Source organism: Homo sapiens, chromosome 22 (genome assembly GCF_000001405.40).
Source record: "Homo sapiens chromosome 22, GRCh38.p14 Primary Assembly".
Taxonomy (NCBI): Eukaryota; Metazoa; Chordata; class Mammalia; order Primates; family Hominidae; genus Homo; species Homo sapiens.
Genome location: NC_000022.11, coordinates 40,010,606 through 40,029,236, shown reverse-complemented (window position 1 = coordinate 40,029,236; position 18,631 = coordinate 40,010,606). Strand labels below are relative to the sequence as shown.

At 51.0% G+C, this 18,631-nt stretch overlaps 1 protein-coding gene across 1 annotated transcript in view, besides 3 other annotated features; it reads right to left on the bottom strand.

Annotated features, from left to right (window-relative positions):
* Positions 1 to 18,631, bottom strand: part of FAM83F (family with sequence similarity 83 member F) — a 48,581-nt gene that overhangs the window by 14,298 nt on the left and 15,652 nt on the right. The window contains exons 2-4 of the mRNA NM_138435.4: positions 9,902 to 10,069; positions 9,229 to 9,350; positions 7,274 to 7,947 (exon numbers count right to left, since the gene is read on the bottom strand). Coding sequence (NP_612444.2) covers positions 7,274 to 7,947; positions 9,229 to 9,350; positions 9,902 to 10,069 — 964 coding nt within the window. The remainder of the gene's footprint in view (positions 1 to 7,273; positions 7,948 to 9,228; positions 9,351 to 9,901; positions 10,070 to 18,631) is intronic.
* Positions 4,068 to 4,137: an enhancer, noted in NCBI's record as "active region_19079". NCBI's record gives its function as "activates an Ori minimal core promoter by ATAC-STARR-seq in GM12878 lymphoblastoid cells {active_cell/tissue: GM12878}" and the evidence as "EXISTENCE:reporter gene assay evidence [ECO:0000049][PMID:35858748]".
* Positions 5,556 to 6,056: an enhancer, noted in NCBI's record as "H3K4me1 hESC enhancer chr22:40419185-40419685 (GRCh37/hg19 assembly coordinates)". NCBI's record gives its function as "activates a minimal SCP1, AML or CMV promoter by ChIP-STARR-seq in naive H9 embryonic stem cells {active_cell/tissue: H9 hESC(naive)}" and the evidence as "EXISTENCE:reporter gene assay evidence [ECO:0000049][PMID:30033119]".
* Positions 6,057 to 6,557: an enhancer, noted in NCBI's record as "H3K4me1 hESC enhancer chr22:40418684-40419184 (GRCh37/hg19 assembly coordinates)". NCBI's record gives its function as "activates a minimal SCP1, AML or CMV promoter by ChIP-STARR-seq in naive H9 embryonic stem cells {active_cell/tissue: H9 hESC(naive)}" and the evidence as "EXISTENCE:reporter gene assay evidence [ECO:0000049][PMID:30033119]".

Genomic DNA, 18,631 nt, shown 5'->3' with positions numbered 1-18,631 from the left:
GCTGCAGAATCAATGACAACAACCATCAAGTCCAAAGTCTTGGCTGCTCTGTCTACAGACTAGCCATTCTTTTGTTTCTTTACTTTTCTAATAAACTTGCTTTCACACACACACACACACACACACACACACACACACACACACACACACACACACGTCTAGCCAAGAGGCCGCTCACTACCAGCTAGTACATGCAGCTCCACCGCCTGCAAAGTAAGACTGCGGTCCTTCTCTCTGGTTCCCCTCCCGGGCTGCCGCATTCTACCGCTGAGGTGCCCACAGCTCCCAGAGCCAGCCAGCGACAGTGCCAGAACCTGGCCTTCCCGGTCCAGTTCCAGCTCCTTCCGCCACAGGCCGCCTAGGCTGGAAGAAGGAAAGCTGGCGCCTCAGGAAAGGCTGGCGCTGGCCAAGAGCTGCCACCGTGGGGTGGATCACACTGCTTAGGACGCGCCTTTGAAGGGAGGACAGAGAGGAACGCGCTGCCTGTAGGGAGGGAAGGGGGAGAGAAAGCTGTCCCCCGCCCCCGGCCAGAGAAGCTGATTTCTCTTCTTCCCCAGGCCTCTACCATTCCTTCCCACTCTCTTTACAGTCCTGAGATGAGGCCTGCGGTTCCTTTGGCTGGATTCCTGCTCTCGGACCTCCGGAGGGAGTGCAGGGGAGTAGCGAGGCAGGCCTGACACCTGCAGGCCTGCGAGGTGTCAGGCGCTGGAGCGGGGAGCCCATGTCCTCGGAGCGCTGGCTGCCTTTCCCCAGGTGGAAGGCGCTCGTGTTATTTCCTGCCAGTTCCCCTCCACACAGCAAGGGCTGCCTCTCTGGTGCTCACACAACCTTCCAGTATCACTTCAGCTGTGAATTTAATTAAGGCCATGTCTGCCTCCTCTCCTGGGCCATGAGCAGGACCCACTGAACAGAGCCCAACTTGGAGCCCTGCCCTGCCACACAGGCTGCTGCTCCTGCCCACTGCACTGTGACCCACGGCCTCGGGCCTCATCCATCCAGGCAGACTGAACGAGCTCTTCAGGACTGACCACAAATCCAGCTGCACCCTCATTAAGGGTGTTCCCCCACCTTTGGGCAGGAGGCTGCGCCCCAAGGGCTCCATGGCCAAGGCGCTGGGGGTCACTTTCCGCAGTGGTGCCGAGCACGTCTGGGGCGGCTCTGCTAGTGGGATGAAATGCGGCCATCTTAGAGTCACTCACTGCTGCAATGGACACATTCGTCCCCATTTCCCCCCATCAGCTGGTTTGATTTGCGTGGCCCACTAAGCAGATGTCAGTTCCTCCCCAGAGGCAGCAGCATTTTGGAGGCAGGTAAGCAAATCAACCTCCAGATCGTTAAACAGGGGAGGCGGTGTAGCTGGGGGTGGGATGGTGGTGGGTGGTGGTGGGGGTAGCTGCTTCCCAAGCCTGCACACCACCCGGCTGGCTGCCTCCGGGAGAAGCCTGGCAAGGCAGGGGCAGGGCCCATCTTCACCAGCACCATGCTCCCCACTTTTTTGTAAGGCAGGGTGAAAGCCTGGAGACAGCACCTAGACTCAGAATTCATTTCCTAGCCCCGGACAGGACAGAGAAACTGGCTTGGCTTGAGGACAAACTCTGTGTCCCTTGTCATTCCCTGAGTGCTCACATATTGGGAGCTGACCACGTGTGGGGAGTCAGCCCTGCTCAGGTGAACAGGGAAGGTGTATAAATGACCAGAATAGTCTTTTTTACAAAGTATGCGTGGCCTGGGAGCTTCAGAGGTGACGCCAAGGTGGAGCTGAAAACGGGTGCAGGGTGGGAGGAGGGGCCGCTCAGCGGAGCGGAGCCATGTGACATAAGCATGGGGTGAGGGTGGCAGCCTGGGGCACTCGGGACCTGCAGTCAGTCTGGTTTGCTGGCAGGTGAGGTGGTGCGGGAGAGAGGGAGGCAGAGGTCACCCACATGGAAGCCATGACAAGGACAATGATGTGCAAACCGCATGCACAGGCTCCAGGGCTTCGCATTCCCTGTATCTGGAAGAATCTTCCCTCAGATGTCCACAGGGCCCTCTCCTTCCATTGAAGTCTTGCTCCGAGGCTCCTTGGTTAGAGAGGCCTTCCCTGGCACCCTTTATAGAAGGGTCATCCTCCCCTAATCCTCGTCTCTCCCCAGGGTAACATGCTCCATAAAAGCAAGGACCATGTTCATTCTGTTCACAGCTGTGCCAGGAACTTAGAGCAGGGCCTGGCACAGAGCAGACACTTCGTAGACACATATTTATTGAATAAAATGCATGAGACAGCAACGGCGAGCTACTTAGGGGTTTAGCACAATCCTAGTAACAACAGTAATAACAGCAGCAGATGCCCCAGACGCAGCAAGAGCAAGAGAGAGATCTGAGACCTGCGGCCCCAAGGGATGACACAGGAGAACAAGTCCCCCAATCCAGCGGCCCAGCAGCCACAGCTCTACAGAGCCAGACCACACTGCCAGCCAGGGGGCCAACCACACATAAATCCAGGGACCCCAGGAGAGTTCTGGAAAGGGACTGTCACTGCAGGTCACCTCAGAGAAACTGGGAAGCAAAGCACAGGCCCAGGGACTCTGGGGCAGGAAAGGACCCCGAGGCACTCTGGGAAGCAAGTTGCTGCTGTCATCTTCCTCTCGGCCCCCACAACACCGTGGGAAAGGGCTGGTCCTCTATTTGGGGCTCTGGTTCTTCCGAACAGTTTTTTGTTTTGTTTTGTTTTGTTTTTTGAGACAGATTCCTACTGTGTCACCCAGGCTGGAGTGCAGTGGTGTGATCTCCACTCACTGCAACCTCCACCTCCCGGGTTCAAGAGATTCTCCTGTTTCAGCCTCCCGAGTAGCTGGGACTACAGGCAAGTGCCACCATGCCTGGCTAATTTTTTGTATTTTTAGTAGAGACAGGATTTCACCGTGTTAGCCAGGATGATCTCGATCTCCTGACCTCATGATCTGCCCACCTAGGCCTCCAAAAGTGCTGGGATTACAGGCATGAGCCACCACGCCGGGCCCAAACAGTCTTTAAAGGTGCAGGGAAACGGTGCCGATCCTAGCCTTCTGGAGATGGCCATGATATCTGCAGAAGGCTGGGGAGGCAGGAGATCACACTGCCCTTTCTCCCTGGGCAGCCACGGACACAGGGCCTGGCCTCTCTGAACCTTGGGGGTCTCATTGTGAGATGCTGTCATCAGGCAGGATGGCAGCGAGGAGGACGCCAGTTCCATGTGATGGAGTATGGCACCATGTCTCTCGCCACTTCAAAAGTGTTGGCCATTTCCCAGTCATCTCCCTGGGGGAACTGGGTGGGGTCTCAGGCACAGCACAGGGATCTCCTCCCCTAGGCTGGCAGCACTCAAAGGGCAGGGCCTCATCTGTGTTTCCTCAGTCGCCACGGAGTCGGCTGGTCTGAGGACCCTCTGCACTGGGGAGCTACACTGGAAAATGAGGGCCCTAATTTAAAATGCAGATTCCTAAGCCCTGCCCAGTGGTACAGACTCTATTTGTTGGATTTTATTTTTATCTTTAAAAATTCTATTATTATTATTTTGAGATGGAGTCTCGCTCTGTCACCCAGGCTGGTGTGATCTCAGCTCACTGCAGCCTCTGCCTCCTGGGTTCAAGTGATTCTCCTGCTTCAGCCTCCCAAGTAGCTGGGATTATAGGCACCTCCCACCATGCCCAGCTAATTTTTGTATTTTCAGTAGAGACAGGGTTTCACCATGTTGGCCAGGCTGGTCTCGAACTCCTGACCTCAGGTGATCCACCTGCCTCGGCCTCTCCAAGCGTATTTGTTGCATTTTAAAATTTGTATTTACTTTTGCTTTTATTTTTTTGAGACAGGGTCTCTCTGTCGTCCAGACTGGAGTGCAGTGGCACAATCACAGCTGACTGCAGCCTCGACTTCCCAGGCTCAAGTGATCCTCCTGCCTCCACCTCCCAAGTAGCTGGGACTACAGGCACACGGCACTACCCCCAGCTAATTAAATTTTTTTTTAAGAGATGGGGACTTGCTATGTTGCCCAGGCTAGTCTGGAACTCCTGGGCTCAAGGGATCTTCCCAGCTCAGCCTCCCAAAGCACTGGGATTACAGGCATGAGCCACCGCGCCTGGCCTCGTTGCATGTTTACCAAGGCTCTCCACTGAGGCTGCTCTGTGAGTTTGGGGGTCCCTGACCCAGGGAGCCTGTGCGGAGGGCACAGAAGCTCCAGAATAAGGGATGAACACTCCCAGCAGGAGGCGAGGGCGGAGGGAAGACGTAGAAGAGGCGCCTAGCTTCTGCCACTAGAGTGCGCCGTGAGCCTTGAAACCGCTGGGCACCCCTGGCCCCCAGCTGGATCCCCAGCCGGAAAGGAGGAAGCAACTTCCCTAAGGTTCTCCCAAGGGCCACACCTGGGTTTGCAAAAATTTGCATGCTGTTTGACAACTATATACTCCTTATCAAGCAATTTTACAGGCTGTCAGCTCTGAGCTTTTTCTATTTTTTCTCTTATGACAGAAACTGTCATCAACTCAGGTTCTCCCTTGACAAGAGGGCAGCAGAGACAGAAAGAACAGAGGCAGAATCTGAACTCCAGGGGACCTCGGAAACCCTCAATGGTGCACTCCCCCACCTTCTAGATGAGAACACAGCCCCAGGGAGGGGACGGATGTGTCCTGGGTACAGGGAGCAATGTGTCCCGAATTGAGAGCCAGGTGGCAGCTGCTCTGGGAGGTTCTGAACATTTACCAGGGGAAGGGGACACTTTCCCTGCATGGGGGCCCAAAGGCAGGAGCTCAGGTTCTCACTGATTCCCACGGTGGGTGCCCCATGCTGTCAGGGGCCCACCTTCTCACACATGCAGTCCTGGCTGCTTAGCTGCTGCTGCCTGAGGGGAGACACTGAAGCAGCCCCACTTGGCCATGGTGTGGGAAGCTGGAGGCCGTGAAAAAGGGCCTCTTAGGAGAGGAGCTCCTGGCCAGGCGCGGTGGCTTGTGCCTATAATCCCAGCGCTTTGGGAGGCCCAGAGGTAGGAGGATCACTTGAGGCCAGGAGACCAGCCTGGGCAACATGATGAGACCCTGTCTATACAAACAATTTAAAAAATTAGCCAGGCATGGTGGCACACACCTGTGAGCCCAGCTACTCAGGAGGCTGAGGTGGGAGAATCGCTTGAACCGAGGAGGTTGAGGTTGCAATGAGCTGTGGTCGCACCACTGCACTCCAGCGAGACATTGTCTTAAAAACAAACAAAACCAGCAAAAGACAGGAGAGGAGCTGCTGCTTCTCCCTCAGGCCTTGGGAGGGAGAGGAAAGGTGCGTGAATTTCAGGACTGCAGGTACTGGGCGCCCACCCAGGTGGGCAGAAGCCTTACCGGAGGAGGCTGCTCTGTGTTCGTCTAAAGGACGGACAAGGAACGGGATGATGGTTCCGGGCATCCCCGGACCTTCCTGGCTGTCCGTGCCCTCGCCCTCACTATTCCCTCTCTCTCTCTATCCCAGCATCAGGTGCCCTGGAGAGGAGCTTCCCAAGGGTACCGTCTGTGTCTGCAAGGCTGGCTCCTGGGCACCATGTGCAGACACCAGAGAGCGGCAGCAGGGGCAGGGCCGCCGTGACCACCCGAGATGTGGGAGCAGGGACATGGATGTGGAGGGACACGCAGAAGGCAGCGGGAAGGGACAAGACAATGGGCTTTGAGTTTCCATGGAAACTGCATCTCAGGGCGAGGGGCTGAAGGAAGAGAAAGCTTCCACTCCACTTCAGTCAGGACTCGGGAAATAGTCCTTGCTGCTGTCGGCTCGCCCCCTCCTTCCCCTCTTCCACCTCCTTCCCCTCTTCCCCTCGCTCCCTTGCCAGGTGTTCACCATGGCAACCCTTCCTCCAAACCAGAGGTACAGAGCAGGAGCAGCAGCAGCAGCAGCAGCTGGTGTTAGGGGAGCCAGGGAGCCCAGGAGGAATGGGGATGGGGCCAGCCACCCCTCCCCTGACAGAACATGGCTGTGCCCATGCCTGGTCTTGAATCCTGGCCTTACTACCACTTCCTGTGACCTGGGACCACTTCATTCACCTCTCCGAGCCATCTGCCACCTCTGTGCTTGAAGGGTGGTTGTGGGGGCAGAAGGGGAGAGAGAGTGCCTGTGCAGGACCTGGCAAGCCAGCAGCTCAGTCAACGTCTCCAGGCCAAACAGAAGGAACGCCCTGACACTCCCACTGTGCCCACAGCCACAGAGGCGCCCAGGCCTGTTCCAACTCCAAGAAGCAAAGTTAGCCAACATTTCCTGAGCACAGAATGTGTCAGACTCCAAAGCAGTGCTGGGGAATTAGCAGAGGGGATGACACTTGTGCTCCCTGCTCTCACACCATCACAATCCGGTTAAAGCTGGTGTGCAGGAATGCAGGAGTCCTGGAAGCCCTTGGGCCGGGCACACAAGACCTCAGGCCCTGCCATCGCCCACCTGGCCAGCCAGAGCCCAGTTCTCATCACTGGGCTCCACAGCGATGGAGGGAGAAACCCCACCATGGAAAGTCCCCTGACTCAGGGATGCAGAGATGAGAAAGGCACCGCCACCAGCCACCTGAAAGGCCACCCCAGAGACTGCTGCAGAGAGAGACATAAAGTCCAGGGCCTCCTGGGGATCCCAGAGAGATGCCCAGAAAGACGCTGCCATGGAACAATCCCACCCAGGGACAAGCAGCTGGGCAGACAGCACTCAGCAGAGGGACGTGGAGAAACCAAGTCGGACTGCCCGTCACAGAGACAGGAAACTGGGTCAGGGCACCAGTAGGGTACAGGGGAGGGTGGGGTGTGTCTAACCAGGTGAGATCCTGACAATAGGTGATCTGGCAAGGGAAAAGGTTTGCTAGAAAGAGCCCTCAACTCAGAGCCAGGGTCGAGCTGCAGCCATGCACCCCACTGTGCAGAGCCCCCGTTTCTTCACTTACAAAGGAGAAAGTTTCTCAGCTTATTTGATTTGTTGGGTTACCATGAGGGCTGATCTGAATGCCTTCTAGCAGTAGCATTAGAAGCTCTGAGACCCCTCCATGCCAAGCCTGGAATCCTTCTCTTTTTTCAGAGAAGAGGAAAATGAAACTCAGAGCTGCAGGACTTGCCCAAGGCCTCCAGGCAGCTAATGGCCGGGGCCAGAATGGGAACCAAGGACCCCGGAACCCCAGAGCTCCTGCCCTCTCTGTGCCCACAGATGGAATCTACTCCTCTGCAGGTATGAGGCAGTGCTCCTGGATAAGAGCCGATGCGGGGCGAGGGCCAGAGGCCTGGGGAGGCACCAGGCCAGAGGGAAGAGGGCTCACCTGAGATGTCAGCACTGGAATTCTCGTTGGGCCTCTTCCCCGTCAGAAACTCCACTTCAGAGGTCTCGGTGGAGACAGAGCTGGCCATGCCATTGGGCGCCGCAGGCCTCTTGGCTCGGCGACTGAAGAGCCTGCTGCTGAAGCGCCTGGCGGGGGCGGCCTCCCCCCGGGCCGCTTCTCCCATGCCGTTTCGGCTGGGTGCCTCTCGGGATTTGGGCTTCAGGTCTCTGTGCATGTGAGAGACCATCCTGCCATCCTTCTGGCTCAGCTCTCCCAAGGGGATGGGCTCCACGGGGGGCAGCACCTGCTCCACCGTAACCAGGTCTTTCAGGAAGCTCTCCAGGCGCCAGGCCGACTCGCCACCGCTGGCGCCCTCCTCCTGCCCCTCCGGGTTGCCGCCCGCCTCCCGCTGTTGCCGGGCAGCCCAGCGCATCATCTCCCCAGGCGGGTGGCGGCAGCCTGACACCAAGGCGTACTTGGGGTTGATAAGCTTTCGAGCCACAGTGGAGGAGTAATGGAGGCCAACCCTGCCCGCCAGGCTCAGCTGCCGGTACAAGTCCACCTCCTCGGAGATGGCGTACAGCTCCCGGAACTCCGTGTCAAAGGGCTCTACGTTCTGTCCTGTCAGGAGCAGGAGGAGGTTTCTGTCCACATGGGAGGAACTCCAGGTGAACCTGGGAACGTGGGGACAGAAAAGCAAGACACATGTGCCCAGGCCTCTCTCTTGCCCTGCCCCCGCCCCCACCTGCCCCTCCGCTGTGGCCAGACCCTTGCTGCAGGTGTACGGCTCCTTGTGGGCCACACGCTGGACTGATTCCCTCCACCCACCCGTAGCCTCCCTTTCCCCAGAGCTTGGCCTCAAATGAAGCAAGCAGGCAGTGGGTGCAGGGAAAGAGCATGGGAAGTCAGGCCTGCATTTAAACCTGGTTTATATTCTCATGTGCCTTGTAAGCTGGGGCTCCCAGGACATATGTTCACAGGGTTGTTGTGAGGCACAAATGAAGTAACTCATATAAAACATTTAGCTCAGTCCCTGGCACAAACACACATTTAAAAAATAGTAACTGCAGCTGCCACTATTATGAATATTATTCTACTCTGTATTGGTTCTTTTCTGATTTTTTTAAGCACTTAGTGTCTGCAGAAACCCATACTCTGACCATGTGACAGGACTTACCCTGCTATTCACTGTTTCATGTGCTCAGCTCTCTCTTCTCGTCACCTATATTTTAATTTACTTGGAGGGCAGAGATTACACAGATACAGTCTCTCGTGTTCCTGCTAAATTATTTTAAAATCAGAATTCTGAGGCCAGGCTCACACCTGTAATCTCAGCATTTTGGGAGGCTGAGGCGGGCGGATCACTTGAGGTCAAAAGTTCGAGACCAGCCTGGCCAACATGGTGAAACCCCTTCTCTACTAAAAATACAAAAATTAGCTGAGCATGGTGGTAGGCACCTGTAATCCCGGCTACTAGGGAGGCTGAGGCAGGAGAATCGCTTGAATCCGGGAGGCAGAGGTTGCAGTGAGCCGAGATCATGCCACTGCAGTCCAGCCTGGGCAACGGAGCAAGACTCCGTCTCAAAAAAAAAAAAAAAAAAAAAAATTCTGGCGACATTCCCTGCACACCACACCTTCCCGTTTCTTTCCAGATCTGGTGCATCCCACTTCCTGCTTGTCCTACCTAATGACTAGCCTCAAAATGCAACTGGCTGCAAATGGACCATGAAAAACAGACAGTGCGTAATGCCTAGGAAGAGTTGACCCTCTTTTTAGAATAATCCATCAACCAGGAAGTTTGAGGGAAGGGACTGGGCAGAAAGCTGTCCTTTGCTATTGCGTCAGATGATCCCTGTTACACACTCATGATGACGGAGGCTCCGGTCTGGCATCTTCCTGAACACCTACCTGGAATCAAGGCCTCCTGGGCCCTTCTTTGATCCGGCCCAACTCACCTGTAAGATCCAGTGGCCACTTTGTCACCGTCCACCATCAGGAACCTTGATGACAGGGTCCCCTTGATCCTCCCCATGGGCATGTAGAAGCCGACGCCTGTCACAGAGCGGACACGGATGTTCTGTTGGGAAGAGCAGAAGGCCCTGTCACCTGGGTTGGGCCAGCCTCCGTGCCAGGTCCTTGCTTCTGCAGAGGAAGAGCCCCCTTGTGTATGGACCCTGCCTGCAGGCTCCTGTCTTCACTAGACGCTCTGCTTCCTACAGCCTTCCATAGGGAACCCTCTTTGGCGAGCAGGAAGAAGTCCCCAAATCTTGCTTCAGGCATGGACAAGCCCAGGGTGGTTCCTGCCTCTTCTCAAAAGGCCCCAGAAGAGAACAACAGCCCTCACTTTGACATCAGTGATTCTGCAGGCTAAGCACCCCAGGACCAGCCCAGAGCTCCCTCCTTCAGTCTCAGCAGCCTAGGGATAAAATTGAAACTGGGCATATGATTCAGTAGTTAACAGTAAAGCCAAGGTTAAAGGCTTGACTTTCAACAAAAGGAAAGGTGTTGAGATCTTGAAGTTCGCCTGAGCCCCCATTCAGGGAAGAGGCAGGGGGGAGCTGCAGGACGGGGCAGAGGTAGTCTCTGTCTCATCTCCTGTCCACTTTCCACCCCAGTGGTGCAACTTACCCGAATCCGGAAGTCAGTGAGCTGCAGGTCCTGACACATCTCCAGGAAATACTTCACTCCTGCCTCGTCCAGGATGATGTACACTGGGACCCGGCGCTTACAGGCAGCATCCACAATGTCTTGAAAGATATCACCATCAGTGAAGAGGTCCATGACCACAGCAATGACCTGGGTGGGGAAAGGCACTGGTGAGGCACACGGTGTCTACACGCCCACAGAGGCATGCCCTGCTCAGATGGTACCACCTCGCCCTGGGGTCACTGGTGGCCAAGAGTCAAAAACTCCACCTGTACCATTCCTGGAGTTCCACGTCCCCCGATCTTTGAGCATATCTGAGCCCTGGAGATGGGCCTGGGGGTGCAGGCCGTGTGCTTGTACTTCATCCTGGACAAATCCCCACCTCCCCATCCTGGGGGTCTTCCAGCAGCTCTTAAGAAACTGTATCAGGGCCAGGCAAGGTGGCTCACACCTGTAATCCTAGCACTTTGGGAGGCCAAGGCAGGTGGATCACCTGAGGTCAGGAGTTTGAGACCAGCCTGGCCAACATGGTGAAACCCTCTATTAAAAATACAAAAAATGGGCTGGGCATGGTAGCGGGCACCTGTAATCCCAGCTACTTGGGAGGCTGAGGCAGGAGAATTGCCTGAACCTGGAGGCAGAGTTTGCAGTGAGCCAAGATTGCGCCGTTGCACTCCAGCCAGGGCAACAAGAGCGAAAAAAAAAAAAAAAATTAGCCAGGCGTGGTGGCAGGCACCTGTAATGCCAGCTACTGGGGAGGCTGAGGCAGGAGAATTACTTGAACCCAGGAGATGGAGGTTGCAGTTAGCCGAGATCGTGCCATTGCACTCCAGCCTGGGTGATAGAGACTGTCTCAAATAAATAAATAAATAAAATGGAATAAAGAAGCCATATCATGGGAGATCTAGGGGCCTGAGGAAAGTTGCTCCTGACACCCTAGAAAAACAAGCAGGCACAAGGAGATGCCATCACGGAGATGCCAGGGGTGGGCTCATCTCCGTGAGCCACACATCTGCTCAAACATCACTTTCTCAGCAGGCCTGGATGCGCTGATGGCCTTGCAGCTGTGCGAAGCTCTGTGCTTCCCCAGGCACAGATCCAGGCAGAGCTCCGGCTGGCTTGGATTCCCTTGGCCTTCAGGTGTCCATCCCATCCTACGCCATCCTCAAATCAAGGTCATTGCTCAGGACCCTTCATTTACAAAAATCAGTCCTGATTATCCACCCTGGAAGGCAAGGTTTATGCAGCCTGAGGCAGCTCCACCTTTCTAACCACAGCTACTTCCAGCTTCCTACACAAACCATGCTCCACGCTCCAGCTGAAGGCTTTCTTATTGGCCCAAACACCCTGCGTGTGATGCTGAGGAAAAGTCCTCGGCTCTGGGGTCGGAGAGATTTTGTTTTAACTGTGGATCCCCCACTTCCTAGTTGTGACCTTAGGCAAGTCACTTAACCTTAATGAGACTCTGTTTCCTCATCTGCAAAGTGAGGATACCTTGTATTTTACACTTTTGCCCTGAGGATTAGGGATAACTTGGTAAAGCAGCAAACACAACCTCTGGCATGTAATAAGTCCTCAGTAAACAGTAACTGCTATACAGTCCAGGAAGTCGGTTTGCCTTCAAAACTGAAAGCACCGACTCTAAAGTCAGGCAGACCAGGCTGGTATCCCCATGCCACAGCCGGCCCAAGCTTCTTTGGCCGCAAAATAGAGCTAATAACTGCACCTATCTCAAAGGGTTGTCCCAGGACTTAGTGAGATGCACCATGAAAGTGCTGAGTGCAGGGCCAGGCATGGTGTCTCACGCCTGTAATCCCAGCACTTTGGGAGGCTGAGGCGGGTGAATCACTTGAGGTCAGGGCTTTGAGGCCAGCCTGGCCAACATGGTGAAACCCTGTCTCTACTAAAAATACAAACATTAGCCAGGCATGATGGTGGGCACCTGTAATCCCAGCTCCTGGGGAGGCTGAGGCAGGAGAATCGCTCATTGCAACCCAGGAGGCAGGGGTTGCAGTGAGCCGAGATTGTACCATTGCACTCCAGCCTGGGTGACAAGAGCGAGACTCCGTCTCAAAAAAAAAAAAAAAAAAAAGAAAGTGCTGAGAGCAGCACCTGCCACCAGGTACGCTCAATCAGCCTCCGTCACGGGGGTGTCACCACCTTCACATGTGTGCTCTGCCATCACCCTGACTCTAAAGACTCCTGTGCCCTGCCCTACACAATACCATTTAAAGTTCTTCATAGCTCTTACATTTTGAGAAACAAAAACAAAAACAAACAAAAAAAAGTTTTATCTGAGGAATCAGAGACCTTTTAAATTACCAGGCCCAGAGAGGCATTTAAAATGTAACAGCAGCCAGATACAGTGTCTCAAGCCTGTAATCCCAGCACTTTGGGAGGCTGAGGTGGGCGGATCACTTGAGGCCAGGAGTTCGAAACCAGCCTGGCCAACATGGTGAAACCCTGTCTTTACTAAAAATACAAAAATTAGCCAGGCGTGGTGGCGGGTGCCTGTAATCCCAGCTACTCAGGAGGCTGAAGCAGGAGAATTGCTTGAGCCAGGAAGGCGGAAGTTGCAGTGAGCCAAGATTGTGCCACTGCACTCCAGCCTGGGGGACAATGAGAGACTCCATCTTAAAATAAAATAAAATAAAATAAAATAATAAAATTAAAATAAAATAGCAGTCATGTCTCACTCTCCCTCAAGCTAAATAATTACTATTATTTAATAAGTGGCTTGAAGCCACTTGCTGTATGAGGCCTCTAGACTCACTCTAAGTAGCTATAAAATGCTACACACTCCATAGTTCAACAAGGTAGGCTGGGCACAGTGGCTTACACCTGTAATCCCAGCACTTTGGGAGGCTGAGACAGGAGGACTGCTTGAGCTCAGGAGTTTCAGACCCACCTGGGCAACATGGCAAAACCCTATCTCTACAATACAAAAATTAGCTAGGCATGGTGGCACATGCCTGTAGTCCCAGCTACTTGGGAGGCTGAGGCAGGAGGATTGCTTGAGCCTATGAGGTTGAGGCTGCAGTGAGCCATGATAGCACTACTGCATTCCAGTCCAGCCTAGATGACAGAGTGAGACTCTATCTCAAAAAAAAATAAAAAAACAACAACAACAACGTATAGTCAATCACTGACAATGTTATTTCTGTAAACCAATGAGACTTCCTGACCAATGGCTTTGGTTGTCCCCCCCTCTCCTGATTTCATCCTTTTTTCTTTAAAAACTTGAACCTCCCCAAGGAAACCTGGAAGTGTGTCCCGGGATGCCATCCTAAATCTTGGCCCAAATAAACTCTCTATACTAATTTTGCCTCAGAGTCTTCCTTTGAGGTTGATATTGTGATAATCATTCATGAAGGGAGAATGAATTCTTCCTGAGCCCCACAGGCAGAGAGAGGACCTAAAGACAGATAAGCTACAACGCTGATTTCAAGGGGTTAATCCAAGTGGAATGACAAGACCTTTGCACAAAATAACTAAGACATGAGATAAATGAGATAAATGCCTTTAAGAACATGACATGTGATGTGGGTTTGGGGTGAGTGGGTGAGCGGAGAGATTACTTCTAGCCAGGGGAGGATAAGACTTTACCAAGGAAGCTGAACTGTGAAGGACGGGAAGCCTTTGGCACCCAGAGAAAGGAACAGGAGAAAAATTGAGCAGGGAGGTTGTCTGGGCTGCCTTGCACGAGTGTGTCCTGCACACGGGCACTGGCTGAGGAGGGGAGTGGGAGCTGCGTCTGCCCAGGGAAGGGTCACCTTTTTCTAACCTACGTACAGGTGTCACGTGGCCTAGCAGGGGCCTGCAAGGGGAGCATTTCAGGGAAAGGGCACAGCACAAACAAAGGGACCGTGCCAGTTAATTTTATGTGTTCGCTTGGCTGGGCAAACATTATTCTGGATGTTTCTATGAGAGTGGTTTTTTGGATGAGGTTAACATTTAAATCACTGGACTTCGAGAAAAGCAGATTACCCTCCATAATGTGGGTATGTCTCGTCCAATCCACTGAAGGCCTTAGTAGAAGAAAGACTGACTTGCCCTGGGCAGGAAGGAATTCTGCCAGCAGACTGCCTCTGGGCTCAAACTGCGGCTCTTCCCAGCATCTCCAGCCTGACAGCCTATCCTATAGGCTTTGGCCTCGCATCTCCATTATCCCATGAACCAATTCCTTAAAATCAATCAATCTCTGTCTCTCCGTGGATCTCTCTTACACACACACAAACATGCCCATCCAGTTGGTTCTGTTTCTCTGGAGAACCCTGACTAATACAGGCACTGAGGATGGGAATTAACATGTACTAAATACTTTCAGTGCACTCTAGGCTGTTTCCTGTGCTTTAGGTAAATTTTCTAATCTGATCCTCACAACTATTTTGAGAAAGAGTTATTCCCACTTTACAATTGAGGAAGTAAACACATAGGGGGCAAAGTCCTATGTCCAAGGTTATAAAGCTGCCATGTGACAGAGCAAGGAACTCAGTCCTAGGTGGCTCCAGGGTCTTCATTTCACTGCTTCCTAGAGATGGGATTGCTGGGAGGTACTTCAGGAACACTGAATCAAAAACCGGCTGTTTAAAAAGACTGAACAAGATAGACAAACTTCTGGCAAAACCGACAAAAAAGGAGGAGATGTAAATAAAATACTGAATGAAAAAGAAGAAATTACTACAGACATAATAGAAATTTAAGGAATTGTAAACATGGTAAAAAAGAATATTAAGGCCAATTATCTGCTAATGCAATTGAAAATGCACATGACATGAGAGTTCACTTAAAAAAGTGAACTCAAAATATACCATAAGCAAGTAAAGTTTATCCTAAGAATGTTAAGGGTGACTCAGCATCAGAAATGGTATCATTTTAATTTAAAACATTTATGGGGTCGAGAGGAAGAAATCATAATTATCTTAATAATTTTACAAAGTATTTAATAAAGCGAGATCCCTACTTGTGATTATAATTCTCAGAAAACAAGGAATAAGAGGGATCTTCCTTAACTTGGTCAGCTCTATCTACCAAAAACCCACATGAAACATTTTACTTAACAGAGAAATTTATGATGTACTCCCTTTAAGTCTCAGGCAAGTGAAGGATACTCACTATCACTACTATAGTTCAACATAGTATTGGAGGTCCTCACCTATGCAATAAGACAAAAAAAAAAAAAAAAAGAAAAGAAATAAGAGACATAAGGATTAGAGAAGACAAAACTACCAGTATTTAAGAATACAATTTTCATAGAAAATCCAGTAGAATAAAGAAAAAAGCAATTAGAATTAATAAGAGAATTCAGCAAAATTGCCAGATCCAAGAAAAACTTAACAAAAACCAATAGCCTTCTTCTATTCCAGCAATAATCAACCAAAAGAAAGAAAAAAGGAAAATAAAAGAAGGAATGAAAGAAAGAAAATAAGATCCATTCACAGTTAAAACCTAACCACATGGCATTTGGAAATAAATACCTTCAGGAAGAAATATTGGAAACTCTACTAAAGGGCATTTTAAAATATGTGAATAAATGAAGCAATAAATCATGAAAAGATAATATGATTTAATATTTTAAAAATCGAATACTCTCCATATTAATAAAATTCAATGCAATTCCATAAAAAGCTCAGTAAATGTTTTTGAGAAACTCAAATACTTGTAAGATATAAAGAAGAATAAAGATCCACAAATAGCTACATCCATTTTGAAAAAGAAAAACTAAAAGGGAACACTTGTCCTATAGAGAGTAAGGCATACTACAGCACCATAGCAATAAGAATTGAATTACTTGTACTACCTAAGTAGGAAGGAACTGACCAATAGACCAATGGAACAGAATGGTGAGACCTAAAGTATACACACAAACACATATATACATGTATACCCACACACATCCACAAAACTTCATGTATGATAGGGTAGAATCACAACTCAGTGGAGAAAAAAAATGCCCTTTAGCAGATGCAACTGGGAAAGCTGGCTTACTACATAGAGAAAAATAGAGGTGGATCCATCCCTACTTCACACCACATGTAAAGGAAAATTTCAGGTAGGCTAAGTACTTAAATGTGAAAGATATAACTAATAAGGGAGTTGAAGAAATGCAAGAAATTATCTTCATGACACGGGGTAAGAAAGAATCTCTTAAATGCACAAACCATGAAGGCAAATAAAATTACGCTAATAAGTATGTAAAAAGGAGCAGTCTTTTTTTTTTTTTTTTTTTTTTTTTGAAACGGAGTCTCGCTCTGTCGCCCAGGCTGGAGTGCAGTGGTGCGATCTGAGCTCACTGCAAGCTCAGCCTGCTGGGTTCACACCATTCTCCTGCCTCAGCCTCCCGAGTAGCTGGGACTACAGGTGCCCGTCACCATGCCTGGCTAATTTTTTTTTTTTTTTTGTATTTTTAGTAGAGACAGGGTTTCACCGTGTTAGCCAGGATGGTCTTGATCTCCTGACCTCGTGATCCGCCTGCCTCAGCCTCCCAAAGTGCTGGGATTATAGGCGTGAGCCACCGTGCCTGGCCCTTTTGTTTGTTTGTTTGTTTTTGAGATGGAGTCTCCTTTTTCACCCAGGCTGGAGTGCAGTGGCGCGATCTCAGCTCACTGCAACCTCTGACTCCCAGGTTCAAGCGATTCTTGTGCCTCAGCCTCCCGAGTAGCTGGAATTACAGGTGCACACCATCACGCCCAGCTAATTTTTGTATTTTTAGTAGAGACAGGGTTTCACCATGTTGGCCAGGCTGGTCTTAAACTCCTGACCTCAAGTGATCCACCTGCCTCGACCTCCCAAAGTGCTAGGATTTCAGGTATGAACCACCGCACCAGGCAAAATAAGCAATCTTCATTAGTAATCAGAAAAATTCAAATTAAAACAAAGAGATGGCTGGGTGCAGTGGCTCACGCCTGTAATCCCAACACTTTGGGAGGCCAAGGCGGATGGATCACCTGAGGTCAGGAGTTTGAGACCAGCCTGGCCAACATGGTGAAGCCCCATCTCTACTAAAAATACAAAAATCAGCTGGGCGTGGTGGCACATGCCTGTAATCCCAGCTACTCGGGAGGCTGAGGCAAGAGAACTGCTAGAATCTGGGAGGTGGAGGTTGCAGTGAGCCAAGATGGCACCACTGCACTCCAGCCTGGGTGACAAGAGCAAAACTTCATTCCAAAAAAAAAAGAAAAGAAGAGATGAAAGGAAGAGACTACTTTACAACTATGAGATTAATGAAAAATCAGAAAGTTGGATAATCCAAACTATGAGATTAACAAAAAATCAGAAAGTTGGATAATCCAAAATATTGGTAGGTGGAGGAAAGGGGACCGTTGTCACTGCTGGTGGGTGGGAGCACTGGTGCAGCTATTCTGTAGAGCAACAGGCAGAAGTGAGTGGATTTAAGCAAGTGCACCGCTACAAGCCAGCAAAGCCACTCTTGGCCGTGCACCCCTGGGAATCTCTTGGATCTTTGCACAGGTCTATATGGGGGCCAGAACAAAGATGTTGCCTGCATCTTTCTTTGGGATAGCAAGGAGCTGGCAATGACTTAGATGTCTATTTCTAGAAGACTGGGTAAGGAAAATGTGAGGAATGTGATAGAATGTTTTACAGCAGACAGAAGTAACGAACTAGTTCCATGTGCCGTAACTTGGATAATTCCATTTAAAATGGATAGTTCAAATGAAAATGTTAAAGAGTGAGATCTATAGCCTAATACCACTCATGTAAATAAAAACACACTACAGGCCTCAGCGACATGTGTCCACTCTAAGCTGGACACCTTGGAGTGTTCAGAAATGAGAGGAAAGTGAACTCTGGCCTAGACAGCATGTGGGAGATAAACTATCAGGAGCACTGATAGATAAACTATCCCAGCCCTTTGGGAGGCCGAGGCGGGCGGATCACCTGAGGTCAGGGTTTGAGACCAGACTGGCCAACATGGTGAAACCCGTCTCTACCAAAAATACAAAAATTAGCCGGGCATGGTGGCGCACACCTGTAATCCCAGGGAGGCTGAGGCAGGAGAATGGCTTGAACCCGGGAGGTGGAGGTTGCAGTGAGCTGAGATCATGCCACTGCACTCCAGCCTGGGCAACAGAGCAAGACTCCATCTCAAAAAACAAAACAAAACAAAAAAGCACACTGCATAACATAACACTGCATACTTTTCAAGGATACAAAGATGTCTGAGGACATATGCTGAACACATAAGGGTGGCTGCCTGTGGAAGGAGAAAGGAGTGGGAGGGAAGGAGAAAGGTAAAGTATGAGGCCTTTCAAGGCTCTCTGGTGGCATTGTGCCGTGAACTAAAGTGCACAATCAGCTCTTTGCACCTGGGGTCCAAAATAGCCAACCAACCAAACCAAAACCACCTTCGAGTCCTCCAGCTGGGCTGGCACAGTTCAGGGCAGGTATGGGGTAGGTATAAGGGTGAAGGTACACGGGCTGGATACGGAGGGTTTGAACACAATGTACAGAGTTCTGGCTTCATTCCACCAGCAATGCAGTTTCCAGGGCTCTGATACTTGATCGCCATCTCCTAGTGCTGATAGTTTATCTCCCACGAGCTGTCTAGGCAAGAGTTCACTGTCCTCTCATTTCTGAACACTCCAAGGTGTCCAGTTTAGAGTGGACTCATGTCGCTGAGGACAGCTTGACCGGTTTGCAGAAGCATGTCTCAGGTTCACAAGCTTACTTTTGCTTTGTGGTTGAAAAATT